At 35.7% G+C, this 20,641-nt stretch overlaps 1 protein-coding gene across 9 annotated transcripts in view; it reads left to right on the top strand.

Annotated features, from left to right (window-relative positions):
- The window catches only part of CDH12 (cadherin 12), a 1,102,672-nt gene that overhangs the window by 673,974 nt on the left and 408,057 nt on the right, over positions 1-20,641 (top strand). Inside the window, exon 6 of one of the 9 annotated variants that reach the window (XM_047416602.1) lies at positions 6,962-7,030. The gene's annotated coding sequence lies outside the window, so the exon portion shown is untranslated. 9 annotated transcript variants of the gene reach the window in all.

Here is a 20,641-nt window from a genome sequence, read left to right as displayed (position 1 = left end):
TCCTCTTATTGGATGAAAGCAATTAACCTGCCTCCAAAGAATACTCTATAGTATGTCATAAACCCATATTTGATAACAACACAAATAATCACAAGCAAATTAATTTTGCTTTCTTACATTCATTATCTATTGAAGAAAACCTCATAAGAAATACATGTCCATGTACATAGATGAATTCTGTTTTGTTTGGAAGAATGCATAAGTTTGAAATGCTATGTTTACCAGGAGTCTCCTCACTGCTATTTATTAACTGCCTATTATGTGCCAATACTTCTTTCAGTACTCAACATTTATGAGATCATTTTAATCCTAGAAGAGCAAGGATTATCACCCTTGTATTCCAGATGATAAAACTGCATTTTAAGTGCATATGCTTCAATTTGAACTCAGACCCACTTGAGTCCTCACCTCACAATCTTAACCATTGTGCAAGTCTGTCTTTTCAGAGTTAAAATATTAAAGAGATTTTCAAATGCAAATCATTTTAGTGCATTTGTTATTAAAGTGCAATATATTCCTTAAATCAAATTAGAAAGCAGAAAGGGAAAGTTCCTTTAATTCCAGACTCATAAAGATGCCAACATTTTCATGTCTATTATATCTTTTCTTGGTATAGTAGAACCACAAAACAACAAGTTTATTTGACTCTCAGTTTTACAAAGTTAAAAAGATTGATAATACCTAGAGTTCACAGTATGTGAGGAAAAGGGTACCCTGAGGACTATTGGTAAGAGTATGAATTGGTGTTACTCTTCAGAATGGCAACTTGCCAATATGTGTTAAATGTTAACAGCATTTATCTAGCAATTTCAGCTTCTAAGAGTTTAATTAATAGAAACAATCAGAAAAAGACACAAAGATTGATGAATAAACTCTGTTGCATAAAGAGATGTTCATTGTTTATAACAGAAAAGTGGTTTTACAAATTAGAAATACATAGATATTCAAAAGTAAATTTTCTGCAAAAATATTACTATTAATACCATAGGTATTTATAATTTTGAGGATATCTGATATCCCCATCACAATAATCTATCACAACAACCCAAGGAAGGCTTTAATGAGCATAAGAATAATTAAGTCAATGATATCTCTGGTATCCATGGTATTTGAGCTGAGTCCACATCTGAAGGAGTTTAACTTTGAGATCTAATCTGAAATCTAAATAGAAGTTAGCATGAGAAAGGATAGGTGTTAAAATTCTGCTGGGCAGAGGGGCATGACCAATTAGATCTAAGGGATGAGAGGTAGCCTTGACTATTTAGGAAATAATAAATATCTTGGTATTCCTGAAACACGGTGTGGATACATGCCAGTGAGGGAAGATGCAGCTGGAGAAGTCAACAGCAATCATGTTACTTTCTGTTTCTTTCACCATCAGTAGTGATATCTTCATTTACTATTGTCTGTTTTTCACAATTTGAACATAGTAAAATGTTATTTTATGATTGGAATTAAGTGTTCACCATGCTATGTTTAGTAAGCTAGCTACCTTTTAATTTGTCAAACCATCTCTCTATCTACTTAAAAACCAACAGAGTCGTTGAAGCTAAGAGAGAAATGTCCAGAGGATTTTTTTTAGAGAAAAGAACACATGAAGCAACCCCTCTCTCAGTTGTGTGTCTATATAAGTGTTTGATGGTGTGATAGGTGGGTGGCTCTCCTCATATTTTTCCAAGTCTCACAGAGAGAGGTTGCTCTAGAATAGCAGCCCCCATGGCCGTGATCCAGCCATGTGTGATTAATTTCTAAATGTGGAAATCAAAGCCAGCTTTAATCAGTTTCAAAGCTATATAGAGATCCAATAGAAGGGTAACTCCAAATTAAAGTCTGTGCTTGAATATGGATTTTCTTTGAATAGTTGGATTTTCAAAGAATTTGTGAAATTTTTTAAGTTGATACTATATCTACTTGTGCTACATAATTTAAACATGAGATTCATTATTCCTTCCCCTGTGAAGCAAGGTTTTCAGGCACTAAGTTCTACAGAGGGATTCCCACACCCAAATTACAGGAAACTTACTCCTGTTTCTGCAATATATTTTCATTTCATTTAGAAGATAAATACAACTAATGAGAAAAAAGCAAAGCGACTTCTGTATGAAAAAAATAGGTAGGGAAATTTGTGATTTCACCATAAAATAATCATGGGATTTGTGTCAACATTTCCATTAATCAGGATTTCTGCAGAACCTGCAACGTGCTAAGTACTGAGGGTAGAGTAACCACCTAGGAAGTCAAAATCCCTGTTTCATGCCATTTATAATACCATTTACATTCAGTGAAGCAAGAAACAAATACGTATTATGTCAGGTTATCATAAATACTATTGATTACAATAAAAGGCAGGGTTGGAGGGTAGCAGATATGAGCATATGCCTGTGTGTGAATCAGTAGTGTGGGTGGCTTGTCTGATCATATGGCAGCTTGGTTGAGGCATGAGCAAAGAGGCAAAGCATGAAGATATCGAGGGAAAGGGCATTGCAGGCAAATGGGGCTGCAGGATAGTGAGGGAAGTCAGAGGTGATACAGGAGGAAGTGAAAGAGGTAGAAAGTGCCCCAACTCTATGAGGGCTCTGAGTTTGGATATGCTCCTAGCAGAAGAGTGGTATGATCTGATTAAATGATCACTCCCACTCCCCTGTGGAAGAGATCTGGTTTGACTGGTAGGAGAGCAGAAGCAGAGAGACAAGATAGGGTGGCAGTTAGGCAGAAAGTGACAGTAGCTTGGAATACAGTATTCATAATGGAGAGATACCAAGTGCAAGTATTGAAAAGACATTTGGGGTAGAACTAACCAGACTCTGCTATTGGAATAGATAAGGAAGGAATAAAAAGATGACACCTAGCATTTGGTATGAGAAACAAAGCTGCTGGCTTATTTAGGTGAGGAAGGCAGGAAGAAAGCAAAATAGAAGATAATTGAGCAGAGAATGTTATATAACAAACGTGATCATCTGAACACAGCTATTTAAAGTATCAGAAAGACTGTTTCCTAAAACACATGGATTAAGATACTATATATTGATCAGTTAAACTTAATCTGGAGACAGACTTTCAAAAAAAGAAACAAAGCAACAAAACAATGAAGGGATTTACATGTTTACATGGTTTTGAATCTTTCATTCAAATATGAAAAGTGAAAATCTTGCCACTGCATTCAGATATACAAAGTTTGTCCTGGATTATAAGGATGATATGGACATTCACACCCTAATACCCCGAAGTGTATATATGTGATAGAGTTTGTTTGAAGATAATGTATACACTGAGAACTAGGACGAGTCAAATGAGCCCAGTTGCTCAATAATCCATAGAGACGTGTTAAAGCAGATTGAGCTGGACTGGATTCAGCACAGAAAGGGTTCCGGGAAGGAGATACCAGCCCTATAATGATCTACACATTTTTAGGAGTGGAGAAAGGAAGAAAATAAACATCTAGTAACCCTGTGATGATTGGTGCTTCTTGGTTTAGGAAGTGGCCGAGTTAAAAGGAGAAAGCTCCTGAGCTCAGCCTCTGGTCCTATTTATTGCGCTAGTTCAGGTGAGCTGATCCAGTTTCTTGCTAAGTCACTGAAAGGGTGGAGGAGATGAGCCATCAGGGATATCTAGAATTTTCTCTCCTTACCCTGATTAGACTTCATTCTGCCATCAGCATTCACGCTTTCTGTTGTAGGTTGACCTACATAGATACCACCTATACAGATTCCTTTTACAGGCATGTCCCATTCAACCTATAAATCTTTAGCTGCATTATTTTATTTTCTATTCTTTTTAATTAACACCATATATTTCTTAATTTTGGTTATAAAAAATTTACATTTCCTTCTGATACTTAGGAAAACTCAAGCCTGGGAAATAGGCAAAGAAATACATTTATAGATATATACATATATTTTTTTTCATTCTCAAGTTTTCCAAATAGATTTATATTAGCTTTCTGTTTGATCCTGAACTTCTGAGTCCTTCTGGCATTTAACAGAATAACCTGATAGACACAGAAGAAGCTACCATATTTTGCTTTAAACAATTTTTTCTACATCTGACATGGATAGATGGTTTACTATTTGTGAAGAAGAAAAATGTGTCTGTACATTAAATTTTCTAAATTAATGCTATTACACACAATGTGTAACAAATACTGATAATCTGTTAAACCAGGCATGTTTAGAAACCCTATTAAACCTAAAAGAAAGAACTAAATTTATTTATGAGACAATTCACAAAGTAAAAGCATTTCTTTAAATCTGAAATGTAATTGATTGAGAATGAGGGTTTTTGTATGTGCTAAATAATTAGGCATTTAATACATAGTTTAATTCATTAATATTTATTTTAAAATATTAATTTAACTCTAGGTAAGTAGGTATAGGACATTTATAATAATAACATTAATGTGGAAGACTAATAAATAATATAGAGTCATTAGAGCCTTGAGATGGTTGTTAGTGTCTTATATTCCTGGCACAGCAAAATTTCTTTCAAAATTAATACAATTTAAAGACAGTTCTTTAAAATTTATAGCTTTGCAAATTGAGTTGACATTAGTTATCTGTATGGTTGTGCATATATAAAGCATATTTGCAACTTTTTATCATTGGTGACCAGAGTGTGGTGGATTCGGTTAATTAGAAATCCACATTAATATACCCTCTTTTTAGTGTATTTTGACTCAGTCTTTACTTGTCCTCAAGATAAATGGTATTGACTGATTCCCGTGGTTCACTTAATAGAACAGGCAGAACTCCATTTGTATTCATTATGGTCGGTCTATATTAATCATTCCATTTCTTACCTAAAGCTATGTCAGGACATATTTTCCAATTCATGATTTCTGCCTGATTTTTCACTAAATTCTAGGCTTGCAGTTTAGTTAAAAAACAAAACTTAATTACAGTTTTGAAAAGCTTTTAGAAATGCCATTGGATCTTGAACTGATTAAACAAACCATTTTGTTATATCAATGTGTTGACAAACTATTAGGGACATAGTCATACTTACTGTTTTTGCTTTAATTTTAACTTACTATTAAATTAGATGAAATTTGAAGCAAGTTTTATTTTTGAAGTATTTACAAAGTTCAAGGTACTGTGCAAGGTACTGAAAGAAATACAAGAGAAGTAGAGCTTTAAGCATGTGTTTAGTGTAATGAAGACAACACAGGATTTAGTCGAAGTTGAGGACATTTTATTTTGAATTTCCAATGAATCTTGTGCCACATTTTTTACATCAACCTTGTCATCTATAGAATGAGAATACTAACAATTATTGATCTACTTACTTCAAATGTTTTGTGAAAATGAAATGATATTTATTCGTAAAGCATTGCATGCGTTACAAATCACAATATTTATATTCACCTAATGTGTTTCACAGAATACTAGTAATTCTATGAGTATAACCAAAAGTGATTCCTGGCCAAACATGTTTGGGAAATGCAGCATACTATCTCCATTCCACTTGGAGTGGCATGTGGCATATCAGCTTTTACAGGCTCAACTATTTTTTCTAGACTAGGATTCTCCACATTTCTTTAAGCGTACTTTATCATAAAATACTAATTAGTATTGCAAAAAATTATGGTAACATCGAAAATACTAAGGAAATTACACATTACGTAAGTGTTAGTTGTGCTTTTACTATCACAGTGTATGTGGTAGGAGTAACAATTTTAGTATATGAATAGCTACAGCACACAGCAGACAAACAATATAATAAAAGTAGTAAAAATTACATCATACCATCTCATAGAAAGGAAGAGTTAACCAAGGTTGTAAAAATCGAAGTAATTCTTCAAAATATTTGAATATCTAATCTGTATATAGGATTCTATTTGGATGTCCAGGATATCCAAGCCTAATCCTATATAAGGGTTAGATATCTAAAGTCTAATTCTATATACAGGTTATTTCAAATATTTTAAAGCATTTGAAATATTTATTAATATTTATTTAATATTTATTAATATTTATTAATATTTATATTATATAAAAGTGTATGTATTATAATTATATAAATTTCATAAATTATATTATATAAATTATATTAGATTTATAAAATGTAAATTATATTATATAATTACATAAATTATATAATTATAAAATTTAAATTATATAAATTATATAATTATATAACAAATCATATATATGTAATTAAATGTGTACATTTAGCACATGTATGTACATACATGTACACACAGGCCACCACCACTACCAAAAGTATTATGCTAAATGAAAATCAATAAAGCAAAATGTAAATGATGTATTACGGAGGACAGAACGTAGAAATGGACAGCCTAGTTTGATAAAGTTTGTTTTGTGGATATGTTAATCCTCACATGTCAATTTGACATCTAGAAGAAAATACAAACCAGACAAAAATGTCATTGGTTCTGATTAATGAGTCTTGGGTAATGTCTGTATTTGAGTTTGAGAAAAGATGGGTTGTGGTTCATCCTCAGAATTACAAAATTAGGAGAAAATTCAGTACAATACAATGACACAGCATCTAATGAACTAAAAATTTCTTTCATTTTGCTATGTAAAATTTGCATTAATATAGATTTAAAATTAAAATAAATTAAATGAATTCATTCTCACCATGCAAATATTAAAAAATAGAGAAAAAAGGAAATGCATTCAATAAAATATAAGAGTAACAGTAGACAGTATACAGTCATCTACCCAACAGACATCCCTCTTCCCTGTTTAGAGACTATGACTTATGTTCCGAAAACCACATTCATTCACAAAGCAATGGAATTTAAGGAAAGAGACCTCCCAGTTCCTGATGAAAGAAGTGAATCTTGACTAATTTAGCTAACTATGAACCTTTTAGTCCTCTTGCTATTTGTTTTAGGAACAAACATGCTACAAAGTTTCAGCCAATGAGATACAAGGGAACTGATTTCTTGTGGGGCTTTAAGAGAGAAACAAGGAAGATTGAGTTCTCGTTCTTGCAGATCCTGATGTGTGTCAATTGGTAGATGGAGCTGCTTCCGTCATCTTCAAGGAGGAGATAAGAGGCTCAGGTAACATGCTGAGGAGTATAGTGAATAAAGAGGGAAAAAGTGTGGATCCTTGATGATGCTGTTGAGGTGCTGAATTTAAAATTAAGTCAGTTTGCCTTGGATGTCTTGTTTGGAGAGATGATAATTTCTTTTATCATTGAAAATATATTGTACTAGCACTTTATTTACAGCCCAAATCATTTCACTTGATGAAACATTAGAGAAGAAAATATTTGTTCTTTTTCCCAGATGCTATAACTTCACATAGCATTTCTGTAATTTGTTTTCTGCATTTTCAAAAAATTGGAGGCATCTAAATTCAAAATCACAATGAACTTAAAATATCTTCCCCAATTAATAGGAAGTGATGACACCTGTACATAGACAAGGAACTCAGGTTACCTTTCTCACTCCTACACCTGCCTTCTTTATATCTCAATTCTTCCTTAACTGATTTTCCCTAGGGGATCTTCCTGGATTAACCTTGCACAATTTGTCTTTAAAAAGATAGATCAGCAAGTTTTCCAGGTGATATATAACCAAACACTTCCACTTTCTTGAGCAAAGGGATAAACACAATACAAATGTAAATATAGGAGCTATGCAGTCTAAGGGAGTGGTTAAGCATGAGTGGTTTGAAGCCAGTTTTAAAAGGATTAAGTTCTGACCCTACCACTTACTAGCTGTGTGGCCTCAGCCAAGGCATTTATGTTTCTGTGTCCTTCCTATAAAAAGTGGGGATATATCATTGGCATTCAGTATTATCGTAAGGATGAAGTGCTTATAAAAGTGCCACACAGATAGTATGCACTCTTAAATGAGCAACTAACAAACCATATAGAAGGCCGCCCTTTGCTTAGCTCATTTGGAAAGTCTAAATGTATGCCAAAGAATGTATATTTTAAGTCAATATGTATTACACTCATATTATCAGAGGAAGTAATTTTCCTCATAACTATGGAGCAGTCAGTCACTGGTATTACATCTAAGCAACATCTTATAATAACAATGCTTAATAGCCATCTAGTACATTTATTCTAAGTAGCTGGGAGCACTTAACGAACATTATCCAATTAATCATTAGAGATTCCTGTGTGGTAAGTGGGAATTGTTATCTCAGCGTTAGTGATAATGATAGGGATATGCAAAGCCAGTCATCTGCATGATAAATCTGAATGACTTTTGCAGCATGTGGCCAGGAATAGAAGCAAAGGCCTGATTCCTTGTCAATGATGCTGTTCAGTGGACCATGCAAGTTCTTGGACTAGATATTCTTGGATTGTTTCTTTCCAAATAACATGGAAGCATATCTAATTTTAACTGTTAAAACTGGCAAAAAGACCCAAGTATTTGTGGACCTCTGACAGCACCTATTTTTAAGCATATATCTACTAACATTTGGGTTTTAGATGATCACGAATTCTAACAACTTGAAACTAACTGCTACCAACTGCTGCTTAATTAAAATTCTACTTAACAGTAGCTATGGACAAAATAAGTAAAATAAGATAAATGTTAATTTTAAAGTTCAATCTAATTGGAAGTTAGAAAAAAGTCATACTATTAAGATCATAATTATCACAAAAAATGTGGCACCAGCTCCCAAATTCAGTGAATTCGTGATTCTGCTGCCAGAGGTTAGATTGTACAATGTTAACTGAGACATATTACTTTGACATAGAAACGTGAGTTCAGAAGTAGCCTGGGAAGAATGATAATTAGAGGAAAGCACTGAATTTGAAAATGTAAAAAAGAAGCTTATATATAACTTATATATAAGAAGCTTATATATAAGTTATATATAAGAAGCTTATATGTAAGTTAACTCATCATTTGAATTGCCATTTCTCTAAGTGAACGTAAAACAAACCCTCCCAGCTTCAGGTAATGATTTATTTAACTACAGTAAATTATATCTACAATTTAGGATTGTTGTTAGCCTTAAAAATGTCAAAGAAGTACAATTGCCTTAAAAGTATTCAGGAAATGTTAGTATGTGAAATGTGAAAAGTCAGTTGAATTATTCAATACATTCAATTCCCTCAAACTAACACACCTAGAAGATACATCAAGAAAATCAGAACAACTTAAAGTTTTTGATCATTATTATTATCTTTTGCCTTTGAATATTGATATCTTCAATAAAATATATTCAAGAGAAGCAGGTCTGGCTATTATCGTTCCCCCTCCACAGCCCCAGTAATTGTTTCTACTATTCTGAGGGACATTCAGCTTTCTGCCTTTGTAGGTGTGTTATTCAACTACACATTTCACCCTTTCACAATTTGCTAGGTGTTAGATTTTTGGAAAATTAATCCAAAGATTGTAATGGCAAATAAAATTGTAGTGGTTTATTTCAATTAGGCATATTTTTAATAAGCAGTAAAGTTATATAACTTTAAGAAATAGGACCCTCATAGGAATATATGGAAGACATATATTAACAAGTATAGAACCTATATTTTCAGTACACATGGCTCAGGATGGAATCTCAAAAATACCACTTCCTAAATCTATGACCTTAAACAAGTTAATGTACTATTTTAGAACTCTGGTTTTCTCATGTATAAAACAGAGGTAACTCAGAAGGATAAGCATGTGACACAGAGAATACAATGAGATATTATGTATCAATTAGCTTTGTGCTTAGTCAGTGATATGCATTCAACAAACAATCATTTCTATCTCTCTCTTTCCCCTTGCATGATAAAATGTAGCCATAGATTCAGCCCTGAAAAGTAATGTCTATCATGGGTGTAATTATACTCCAGAATGCTAGGTGTAAATTATTTTATCTTTCAAGTGTGATTTTCTCAGAATGAGACTTTACTGTGAGGCTCGTCAAGGTCATTGTGTTAAACAATTCTGTCTGCATCCTCAAAGTCAGAGGTCTAACTAGGCTGCATAACAGTTTGACTGAAAAGGCACTATGCAAATCAAATGCATGCTGTCACTGTTATGGATACGACTGTTCATTTTTAGATGCATAGAAGGTTTCTCAACTGTAAGGAAGAACTTTGGCTCAGTAAGCAGGTTAGTGTGATTGATATTTTACTATGCAAGAGAGCAGAACAGAAATGAGTTCAACTTATAAAGTGTAAATTCTGTATCTCTTTATATGCATATATAAATATGAGTAGAAGAGGATAAAGTGAAAAAAAAAGACAGAAAGACAAACCAAAAGAAAACAAAAGTAGAGAGAAATTGAGAGGCAAAAATAGGACAGAAAGGCAGAGAGAGAGGGAGACAGGAAGACAGACATAGACAGGAGGAGAGGGAAATGAGCAGGTCTGAATTAGACTAGAGAAACAGAGATTGGATGGACAAAGAAGCAGAAAGACAGTTGCAAAGACAAAAGATAAATGCATCTAGTGTAGTTGTACTGTTTTCTCATCTGAGAGAAAAAGAAATGATCCTTATTCATCCTTAGTGGAGCGTAGTTATTGTCAAGGGGAGGTCACTAGGGAAGATGTGTGCCTCACAGCAAAGACTGCTGTCTCTTTGTAGTATTTATTTGAACAGTGTGTGCCCCATGCGCACATTACTTACCTTGATTATTCTTTGAAGGAATATATTAGACCCTTTATTTTTATATATGACATATATCAGACATTGTACAACATAACTCAAAACAGTATTTGAATCATGTTCAACACAAATAATATGTGTCCATATGTGAAAGCTGCAAGGAGAGTCAGGATGGAAAGAAGTTGAAAAGTAAAAAATCACACAAACAAAATCCGAATTGTGCTTATTTGCTCTTAGTTTTAATACAATGAGAAGGAAATGAGAGAAATAAGCATTATTACCATAAATGTGTATCCATCTGTCTTTGTTAGACTCTAATGCATAGTAAACAAATTATTTTAAAATTAAATGACTTCTTCCTTCAGCACTTTTATGCAGCATAAGTCCGTCGAAGATTTCTGACAAGAGCAAAATATATGAGCAATCACTATGTAAACAGAAAATACTATATTAGGCAGAGAATTGAGCTCTAACTCTGGAATCAAATTCAGAACAATGGACAGTGTCAGTGGGTTTAGAGGGGACTAGTAGTGTAATAACGGAAGAGGGGACATGAGAGAAAAAAGTCACATAATTTTAATTTTGATTCATTCAAATTAATGCATATTATAAATATACATATTATCTTTATGCACATGAACATATAGCACATTATTCCACAAAGTTAGGAGGCATGCTCAGCTAGGACAAAGATGATATCGGTACAGAACTACAGTGAATCAAAGAGAAAAGAAAGAAAAATAAACACTTCCACCTTTCTCTGACAATCCTCAGCTTCTCACCTTGGGTGCCATGAAAATTCTCTTATCATCCTTCGGTTGCTATATGTGGCAGTTACACGTATTGAGAGGAAAAAGAACCTTATAAAAACAATGGAAAATGTGTCCATCTAATGGTGGTGTTTTGACCAGAGTTTGAGGAAAATCAAGATGATTGAGAAAGTAAAGGATGATGTCACCCTTTAGATCAGGTGTACCCATGTGCCAGAGGAAAGCTATTAGAAATGGAATATGGATTTTCAAAGCTTACCTTTAATGTCATTAACAAAGCAGACCTAAGGGAGTCACAGACATAGTACATCGTAAAAGAAAATAGCCAAATCTATGTAAAATAAGAGTATTTAATACTCATCATGATGTTATTAACTATTTATAGCACTATAAATTTATAGTATCTGTAAGGATCAAAGTACAATTATAGTTTTAAATTATGTCTTTGAAAAATATATATGGCTATGCGTTCTTTTCTCATAGTTGATTCCAGGCCTACAGAAGAGAAATGGGGCATGGCAGAGCCATTGAGTCCAAAGAGCTATATATTTGAAGAACTTGTCATGATAAACAAAAATCAAAGCTTTTAAAGTTATAACTCCCCAGAGTAGGAACAAGCGAAGGACACCAATACCATTACCACTGTCAAAATCTGTCCATGGCATTAAACTTTTCAATCTGCTTTGGTTTGGCAGAGTAAGGTCATTCCAATTCCCTGGGGTATCTTTCTTTCAGCGATGCCTTGGCTCTTCGTGAATGATTTACTTGATTGGCATTTATATATTCTGCTGCTTAAAATCATTCACATGACTAGCATCCTTCAGAATATAAACAGAGAGATTCTAACACAGTGTTTCACAAACCACATCCATTCTTATATGTGTTTTCTCCTGCTGATTGAAATGGGTCTAATCTAAACAAATTGAGGTCTCTCTTTTCTCATCCATATGTATGTTTCATGCCTGTCAAAGGTATATTACTGCAAATTATGAATAATCATGTTTAGCCTCCTTTATTATGCTCAGTTGGAAAACACTTATTTTCTTTTCAAAATATTTTCATATAAAACATAGGAATTGAAGATCAACAACTGAAGTTTCTTCTGAAACTGAAGAAACAGATATTTACAGAGTATTACTTATCAGTTAAATGATTACTTCAACTGGGTTCAAATTGACTTTTGCCATCATTTTTTGCTTTTTTTAAAATAATATAAGATATATTCTTTCTCGCTAGGGAGTGATCATTTCTAAAAGTAAGAATTTTTTCAATTATGAGCATTGAATTAACAATGTATCTCAAATTTGATATATTAGAGAAACAGCATTTTTATGAAATGAAGCTTTCTTTGTAATCATTTTACAGTTGTTTTACTATGTAGTTTTTAATCTGTCAAAATATTTTAAAAGCATGTGTACATATTTTTGCATAATTTGGCAAACTTGTGCCATATAAGAAACTGGCAGTGCATTATAGTAAAAATGCTATTCTTTGGATTTATTCTAATTGACCTACTTTTAAAATCTTTTTAGCAAAATACTTGAAGCATCTTAATTTGGTTGCTGGTAATTTAGAAGGAGAAAATATTTTTAAGAGAAATATATTCTAGGGAAAATAATCTTAATCAACTACTAGACAATATGGTATGGGCATAAGCAAAAAAACCCATTGACTTCTATTCAAGGGATGACCAGATGTCCAATATAAATGAACAGCTATATAATTCCCAGTGCAGTCAGATATTCATTAAAAAATACTTAGAAGCTACTATCTAACTAGGTCCTCTTCCAGGGGTTTGGGATACATCAACGAACAAGAGAGATAAATATCCTTGCATATCTGAAACTTGCATTCTAACAGTGTAAGATAGGAACTAGCCATTATGTATTTTTTTAAAAAAAGTGATAATTGATAAGTGTTACTGAAAAGGGGCCCTGATCCAGACCCCAACAGAGGGTTCTTGGATTTCACACAAAAAAGAATTCGTGGTGAGTCCACAGAGTAAAGTGAAAGCAAGTTTACTAAGAAAGTAAAGGAATAAAAGAATGGCTTCTCCATAAGTAGAGCAGCCCTGAGGGCTGATGGTTGCTTGTTTTTATATTATTTTCTTGATTATATACTAAACAAGGGGTAGATTATTCAGATTATTCATGCCTCCCCTTTACAGACCATATAGGGTAACTTCCTGATCTTGCCATGGCATTTGTAAACTGTCCTAGCGCTGGTGGAAGTGTAGCAGTGAGGACAACCAGAGGTCACTCTCCTCGCCATCTTGGTTTTGGTGGGTTTTGGCTGACTTCTTTACTGCAGTCTGTTTTATCAGCAAGGTCTTTATGACCTGTATCTTGTGCTGACCTCCTATCTCATCTTCTGACTTAGAATGCCTATCTGGGGATGCAGCCCCGTAGGTCTTGGCCTTATTTTACCCAGCCCCTACTCAAGATGGAGTTGCTGTGGTTCAAAGGCCTCTGACATAAGGAAAAAACAAGTGAAACACAGTAAGAGTGTTGACCACAAATGCTTGGAATGTCTGTGTGTGTGTGTGTGTGTATGTGTGTGTGTATGTGTATGTGTATGTGTATGTGTGTTGGGAGGCTGGATATTTGCAATTTTAAATAGGGTCATCAAACATTCATCCATTGAAAAAGTAAGAGTTCAGAAAAGATTTAGAAGAGGTAAAGGAATTGTCACTGTGTGTATCTATGAAAAGCACAGCAGGAACACTCCTAACAAATCCACAGAACATCTACGAGGCTAGTGTGTCTGTCATGGAGAAAGTGAAGGGAGATTAACAGAGGATGAACTCAGAGAAGTAACAAGAACTGATCACTTGGGGCTTTCGGGGCCATTGTCAGGAGTTTGACTCTTACCCTGAATGAAATGTGGATTAGTTGCAGGGTGATGAGCAAAGGAATGACATGATCAGACCAACATTTTAACCAGCCCCTTTGGCTGCTGTGTTCAGAATAGAATGTCGGGGCCAAAGTGAAAGCAGAGACATTGTTATGCGGTGAGATGAAAATGTTTACACAGCAGGTCTGCGATGAAATGATGAATTAATTCCCTTTCGCAAGGCAGTGCTCCTGGGAAACAAACACATTCAGTGAGAAGTCTAATCTCCTATTAAACATTGTCATGTTTAATGACAGACCTCCTGGCAATTAAACTACATGGTTTGTGCTAGTGAGAGACAAGACTAGCTGGATTTCCTAGGCTGACTAAGAATCCCTAAGCCTAGCTGGGAAGGTGACCACATCCACCTTTAAACACGGGGCTTGCAACTGAGCTCACAGCTGTCCAATCAGAGAGCTCACTAAATGCTAATTTGGCAAAAACAGGAGGTAAAGAAATAGCCAATCATCTATTGCCTGAGAGCACAGTGGGAGGGACAAGGATCGGGATATAAACCCAGGCACTGGAGCCAGCAAAGGCAACCCCCTTGGGGTCCCCTCCTCGTACAGGAGCTCTGTTTTCACTCTATTTCACTCTATTAAATCTTGCAACTGCACTCTTCTGGTCCGTGTTTATTACGGCTTGAGCTGAGCTTTCACTCGCTGTCCACCACTGCTGTTTTGCCGCCGTCACAGACCCTCCGCTGACTTCCATCCCTCAGGATCCAGCAGGGTGCCTGCTGTGCTCCTGATTCAGCGAGGCGCCCACTGTCGCTCCCCATCGGGTTAAAGTCTTGCCATTGTTCCTGCACAGCTAAGTGCCTGGGTTCATCCTAATTGAGCTGAACACTATTCACTGGGTTCCACAGTTCTCTTCTGTGACCCACGACTTCTAATAGAGCTATAACACTCACTGCATGGCCCAAGATTCCATTCCTTGGAATCTTGAGGCCAAGAACCCCAAGTCAGAGAGCATGAGGCTTGCCACCATCTTGGAAGTGGCCCGCCGCCATTTTGGAAGTGGCCCACGACCATCTTGGGAGCTCTGGGAGCAAGGACCCCTGGTAACACTAGGATGAGAGTCTTTACTATGAAAAGTTTTGGGCAGGATGTACTTGCTTCTTCTGTAATTGCTTCTGGTAAATAAACCTGGAATCTACAGATTCATGGGACATACTTCCTGATTAACATAATGTGAATTATGTAACTATATGAGTATGAAATTGTGATGTTCTATAATCTAAATGGCTTTTTCTTTGTAAGTGAGGTGACCATGTACTTTATTAGAAGTCTCATCTATTACCTGAAAGAGACATAACAGTGAGATGAAAAAATGACCTAGGGAGTCATACTGGTTGTCATGGAATTCTTCCTGCTTCACCTGTATTATGCATTTATATGTACCCTTGAAATTATTAATAAGCTCAATACTGGATCAAATTTCTAATTCTTGGGAATCTCATTGACAGTGTGATCCTGGGTGTTGTTACAAATGGCAATACTTCAGGCAAGAGACAATGGTGTCTCATGTCAGGATAATTCTAACAAAGATGGTGAAAATGTTCAAATTATGAATATTTGGGGCAGTATTCTACCAATGGCATGGGTGCAGCATGTAAAATAAAAAGAAAATCAAGAACAACTTAAAAAATTTTGGTCTGAATTGTGAATGTCAACTGAAGTGGGTAAGACTACAAATAGATGGGTGTGTGTGTGTTCATGGATTGAAGGTGCAGTTTTGTGCATGCCAAGTTTGAGATGCATTTTAGACATCCAAGTGGTAAATATTGATACATGATTCTTTGTGTTATGTACATGCAATATACAGGAATGGAGGGAGTCTGGGCTGGAAATATGTATTTGGAAGTGGTCATCATATTGAGGATATTGAAAGTCCTGACATTGGATGAGAAGTCCAACCAAATGTATATAAACAGGATAAACGAGGGCCGAGGACTGAACCTTGAGATGCAACATTAAAACGTCAGAGGGGGCCGGGAGCGGTGGCTCACGCCTGTAATCCCAGCACTTGGAGAGGCCGAGGTGGGCGGATCACGAGGTCAGGAGATGGAGATGGTGAAACCCCGTCTCTACTAAAAATACAAAAAATTAGCCGGGCGCGGTGACGGGCGCTTGTAATCCCAGCTACTCAGGAGGCTGAGGCAGGAGAATGGCATGAACCTGGGAGGCGGAGCTTGCAGTGAGCAGAGATCGCGCCACTGCAGTCCTGCCTGGGCGAAAGAGCGAGACTCTGTCTCAAAAAAAAAAAAAAAAAAAAAAAGTCAGAGGGAAGAGAAAGAACCAACAAAAGAGACTGCAGAGGAATAGCCTGCATAATAGGGTGTATTGAGAGCTAGGTAAGGGAAAATAAAATATTCCATGATGTCAGAGCCCCAGCTAAATTATGGGTCCAGTACTAGAGCAGCTGACAAACCTGCACTAAGGGCAAATGATGAGGAGTTGGATGTGGGTGTTTACAAACTTTATTTGTAAGTTTATTACAAATAAACTTAATATATGCATGATGTTATTTTTAAAAATAAACACATCATACTTGCGACCAGGGAAAACTTACACTGGCAAGCCACATGTGATTCTTGTCTGACCTGTGTCTGGTTTACGCCTGCCTGGTCAACACTTTGGCATTGGGAGCTTGACGTTGTATTCTCCCCAGTGTTCCAGGGAAAACCCAACCTGAGGCAGCTCCTGATTCTTCAGATGGAAAGTGCAAATTTAATGTAACACCAAAATAAGGAACAAGTTCAAAGACTTTTACTTGCAGACTCCAGGATCCAAGTAAGGGTGTGTGGGAGGGTATAATGAGTCTGGAGGGCAGTTCTTTATCCTGGAGTCATGGCAGGCAGAAATGAAGAGTCAGACAAAGAGAGAGAAACGGGTGGCAACTAGCACACTATATAAAGATTAGGGTGTGGGCCTTCAAAGTTCAGAGCAAATGACTGAATGGTCCCTTTAAAGAAAGGGGCAAGAAAGCAGCGTTCAGTCTGCTAGGCAGAAGACATGCCTCTAAATTTTTATATATGACCACCAGTTTCAGCCCTTTGGGTATGCTGTAGGATGAAAAACTGTGTAAAGGGTGACTGAGCCCTGCTTCTAGTATGAGAAAGCAATACTAGTATTCAAAATGGATGCTGAAGCAACATAAACTGATAGGAAGTCATTATACAGACATGGCTGGGAAGTGAATGTTGTAGTGACTTCGACAAGACCAGTTTAATGAAAGATTAATCCCCCATTCTATAATAAACATATGAGTCTTTACAAATAAATGTAATAAAGTTATTATGCATGTTATTTTTTAAATATATATTTCTCTAGTATCTCAGATTTCAGAAAGCTCAAATATAAATTGAATTCCCAACTGCAGTTAACCACATTTGAGGTGTTTGGATTTTTTTCTTTTCCCCCCTCCCTCTCTCTCTTCTTCCTTCCCCATCTTTTTTCCTTCTTTCCTTCCTTCCTTTTGAGAGGTTCTCGTTCTGTCATCCAGGCTGGAATTCAATGGCACAATTATAGCTCGCTGCAATCTTGAACTCCTGAGCTCATCCAATCTTCCCACCTCCGCCTCTTACATGCACGTGCAACCATGTCTGGCAATTTATTATTATTATTATTATTATGATACAGACAGGGTCTTGCTATGTTGTCCAAGCAGGTCTCGAACTCCTGAGCTTGAGTGATCCTCCCATTACAGCCTCCAAAGTGCTGGGATTACAAGTGTGAGCTAACATGCCCAGCCAGATATTTTTCTTTAGGTTGTTTTTGATTATTCTTGCAATATGATACTCTCTTTTAGGTGTTTTAGTATTTTAAATGTCCAGAGTTAGCTCATTTTTTCATAAGGATTCTTAAATCATCTAAAAATTTTATCTTTAATTTTCAGAACACAGGACCGAAGAGGAGAGGTGAAACAAAAAGTTTTAGGGGAACTCCATAACATAGTGTTGACAAAGAGGTCATTGGGGTTAGCAATCATAGTTAAGATATAAGAAATGAGAAGAGAGAGGATGAGAATAGTGAAGCTTCTATGACAGCTCAATTCTATACACTTGTGTATGTTCCCCTTAAATTATGGAATGAAAGCTTCAGGATTTGGGCAAGGTCACAGAGCCTGTGCATTCCAAGGGTCATGAGTGTTAAATGAGGGCCAGGCAGAGACTCCGTGCAGAGCCATGCATGACTTTCCCAAACACAGTTGTCGAGGACCCTCTAGCATGAATCATCTTCTGCTTCTGATATTGAATATTGCCATGATCTAAATGTTTGCTTTTCCCCCAAACTTGTATGTTGAAAAGTAACCCCTGTGGTGATGATATTTGGAGGTAAGGTCTTTTAGGAGCTGATTAGTCGTGAGGGTGGAGCATTCATAAATAGGATTAGTGCCCTTATAATATAGGCCCAAGGGAGTTGAGCTCCTTGGTCCCTTTCACCATGTGAGAACACAGGACACAGCCAAAAGGTGTGACCTACGAAGCAGGAAAGGGGCCCTCACCAGACACTAAATCAGCCAGCACCCTGATCTTAAACTAGCCTCTAGAACTGTTAAATATAAATTTATGTTGTTTATAAGCTATCCAGTATATGCTATTTTAGTTATAGCAGCCTGAATGCACTAAGATTAATATTACAATTCATTTTGGTTTGTTTCTGTGAGGTAAGGCCAATTCCCATGGACTTCTTTATCTCAGAGAATGATTTACTTGGTTCACCTCCTTTTGCTAAACAACGTTCATGTGACTACTCAATGTTCAAAAGTCTAGGAGAACCAAGGGCAGTAAATAAGAAAATACACTGAGATGTTCTGAAAATATCCAGCCATGAAGATACCACAGTGTCCCTTGGGAAACACATCTAACATATCCAAAGCAGCATGTTAATAATTTATTTTGTTTTGCTTTATCTTGTTTTTTTCTAAAAAGAAAAAAAGGAGAAAAGCCTTCTGTGGACATTTTTCTGCCAGACTGAATCTATTTTCAATCTCAACTGTATGGGTCAGATGGTGGATACCCTATTGAACTGAAGAGTCTTTGAGGAGTTTTGCAACTTTCTGGAACACATACCCATTTGAGCCAGAACAGAAGAGCAACGTATATTGCAATAGATAGGTGAAGTTTTTCTAATTTTCATTGGCCTGGTACATATTTTATTTTTACTCCGTCTATTACCATTTGTTGTCTCTAACATTACCTTAAAGAATCATACACACACAGGCACACACATGCACATGCACGCACACACGCACACAGACACATTTTGCTACTGTCTTGACTATGTCCTAGTATATAGAGCTGCCTTTTTCAGTAAGGAGTAATAATTTTGATCTTGTTAATATCTTGTTAATGAACTATTAAACTATTTAAATTATGTCATGGTAAACCTGATTCCAGTATATTTAAACTCATCCAGTTGATAACGCTGTAACAAAGTTTATGGATTTAAGCTAAATAGATAAGCCATTTGTCTACAAGGTAAAAACCGAAGTGAGTTTTTGCTGTGGTAGTTATTGAGTATTTAAATATGTGCAATGCAGACAAAATGCATCAAGATGAAAAATTTTATTTGGTGGGTAAAAAATGAGTGATAGTGTTTATCAGCAGCGATTAAGTCAAACAGAGAGCTGCCAGAGAGGAAATTCATCTGAACCATGTAAGCTATAATTATAGATCAGAAAAGACACAATATAATATGGTTTTATTAATATACCTGGCAGAAAAACATGCTGCCACACTACAAAACATTAAAGAAAATTTTACCCATGCACCATTTTCTAATGAAAATGTGTAGGCATATCCTCATTATCCTAAGAAATTTGGAGAAAACTATTCATTTTCAACATTAAGGCAGTTGGATAAGAAGTCACCATATTAAACCAGAGTTGAAAATCAGTATTTTCTATTTCCTTCTTTTTGTACCATTGTCAACAGATCCTCTCTTGTCCTGTCTCTCTTTTGTCCTTGCTGTTGAGTGGTGTGCATTGATAGTTTCTTTCTCTTCTAGCTGATTTTTTACTAGGTCTTTATTTTGCACATGACATTCCTCATCTATTTTCTCCCTCAAAATTCACCACTGCTATAAAGTCTACTCTGCTAAAACTATGGACCTTTTCAGGAACCTGTATATTCAAAAACATAGGGGAACCGATGCCAACAATTTAACTGTGCTCAAATTTTTAAGTAACGAAGTTTTATTTTATATGCTAACTTTAAAATAATGCAAAGCTATTATGAAGAGTCACAGAATTTCAAAGCTGAAGGGACACCATTATAATTCTTGTTTTTATTATTTGTATGTAGCACTAGTACCTTAGATAATATAAATGATGACCTGAGCTAATTTGTCAACATATTGTAAATCAAGCAGTTGTTGAAGTGGATCAGAACACCTGTGAGTGCTTTTGCTGATGCATAGTCTTTTATTTAAACATG

The sequence above is a fragment of the Homo sapiens genome, chromosome 5 (assembly GCF_000001405.40).
Source record: "Homo sapiens chromosome 5, GRCh38.p14 Primary Assembly".
Classification (NCBI taxonomy): domain Eukaryota; kingdom Metazoa; phylum Chordata; class Mammalia; order Primates; family Hominidae; genus Homo; species Homo sapiens.
This window is presented reverse-complemented; position numbering and strand designations above follow the sequence as displayed.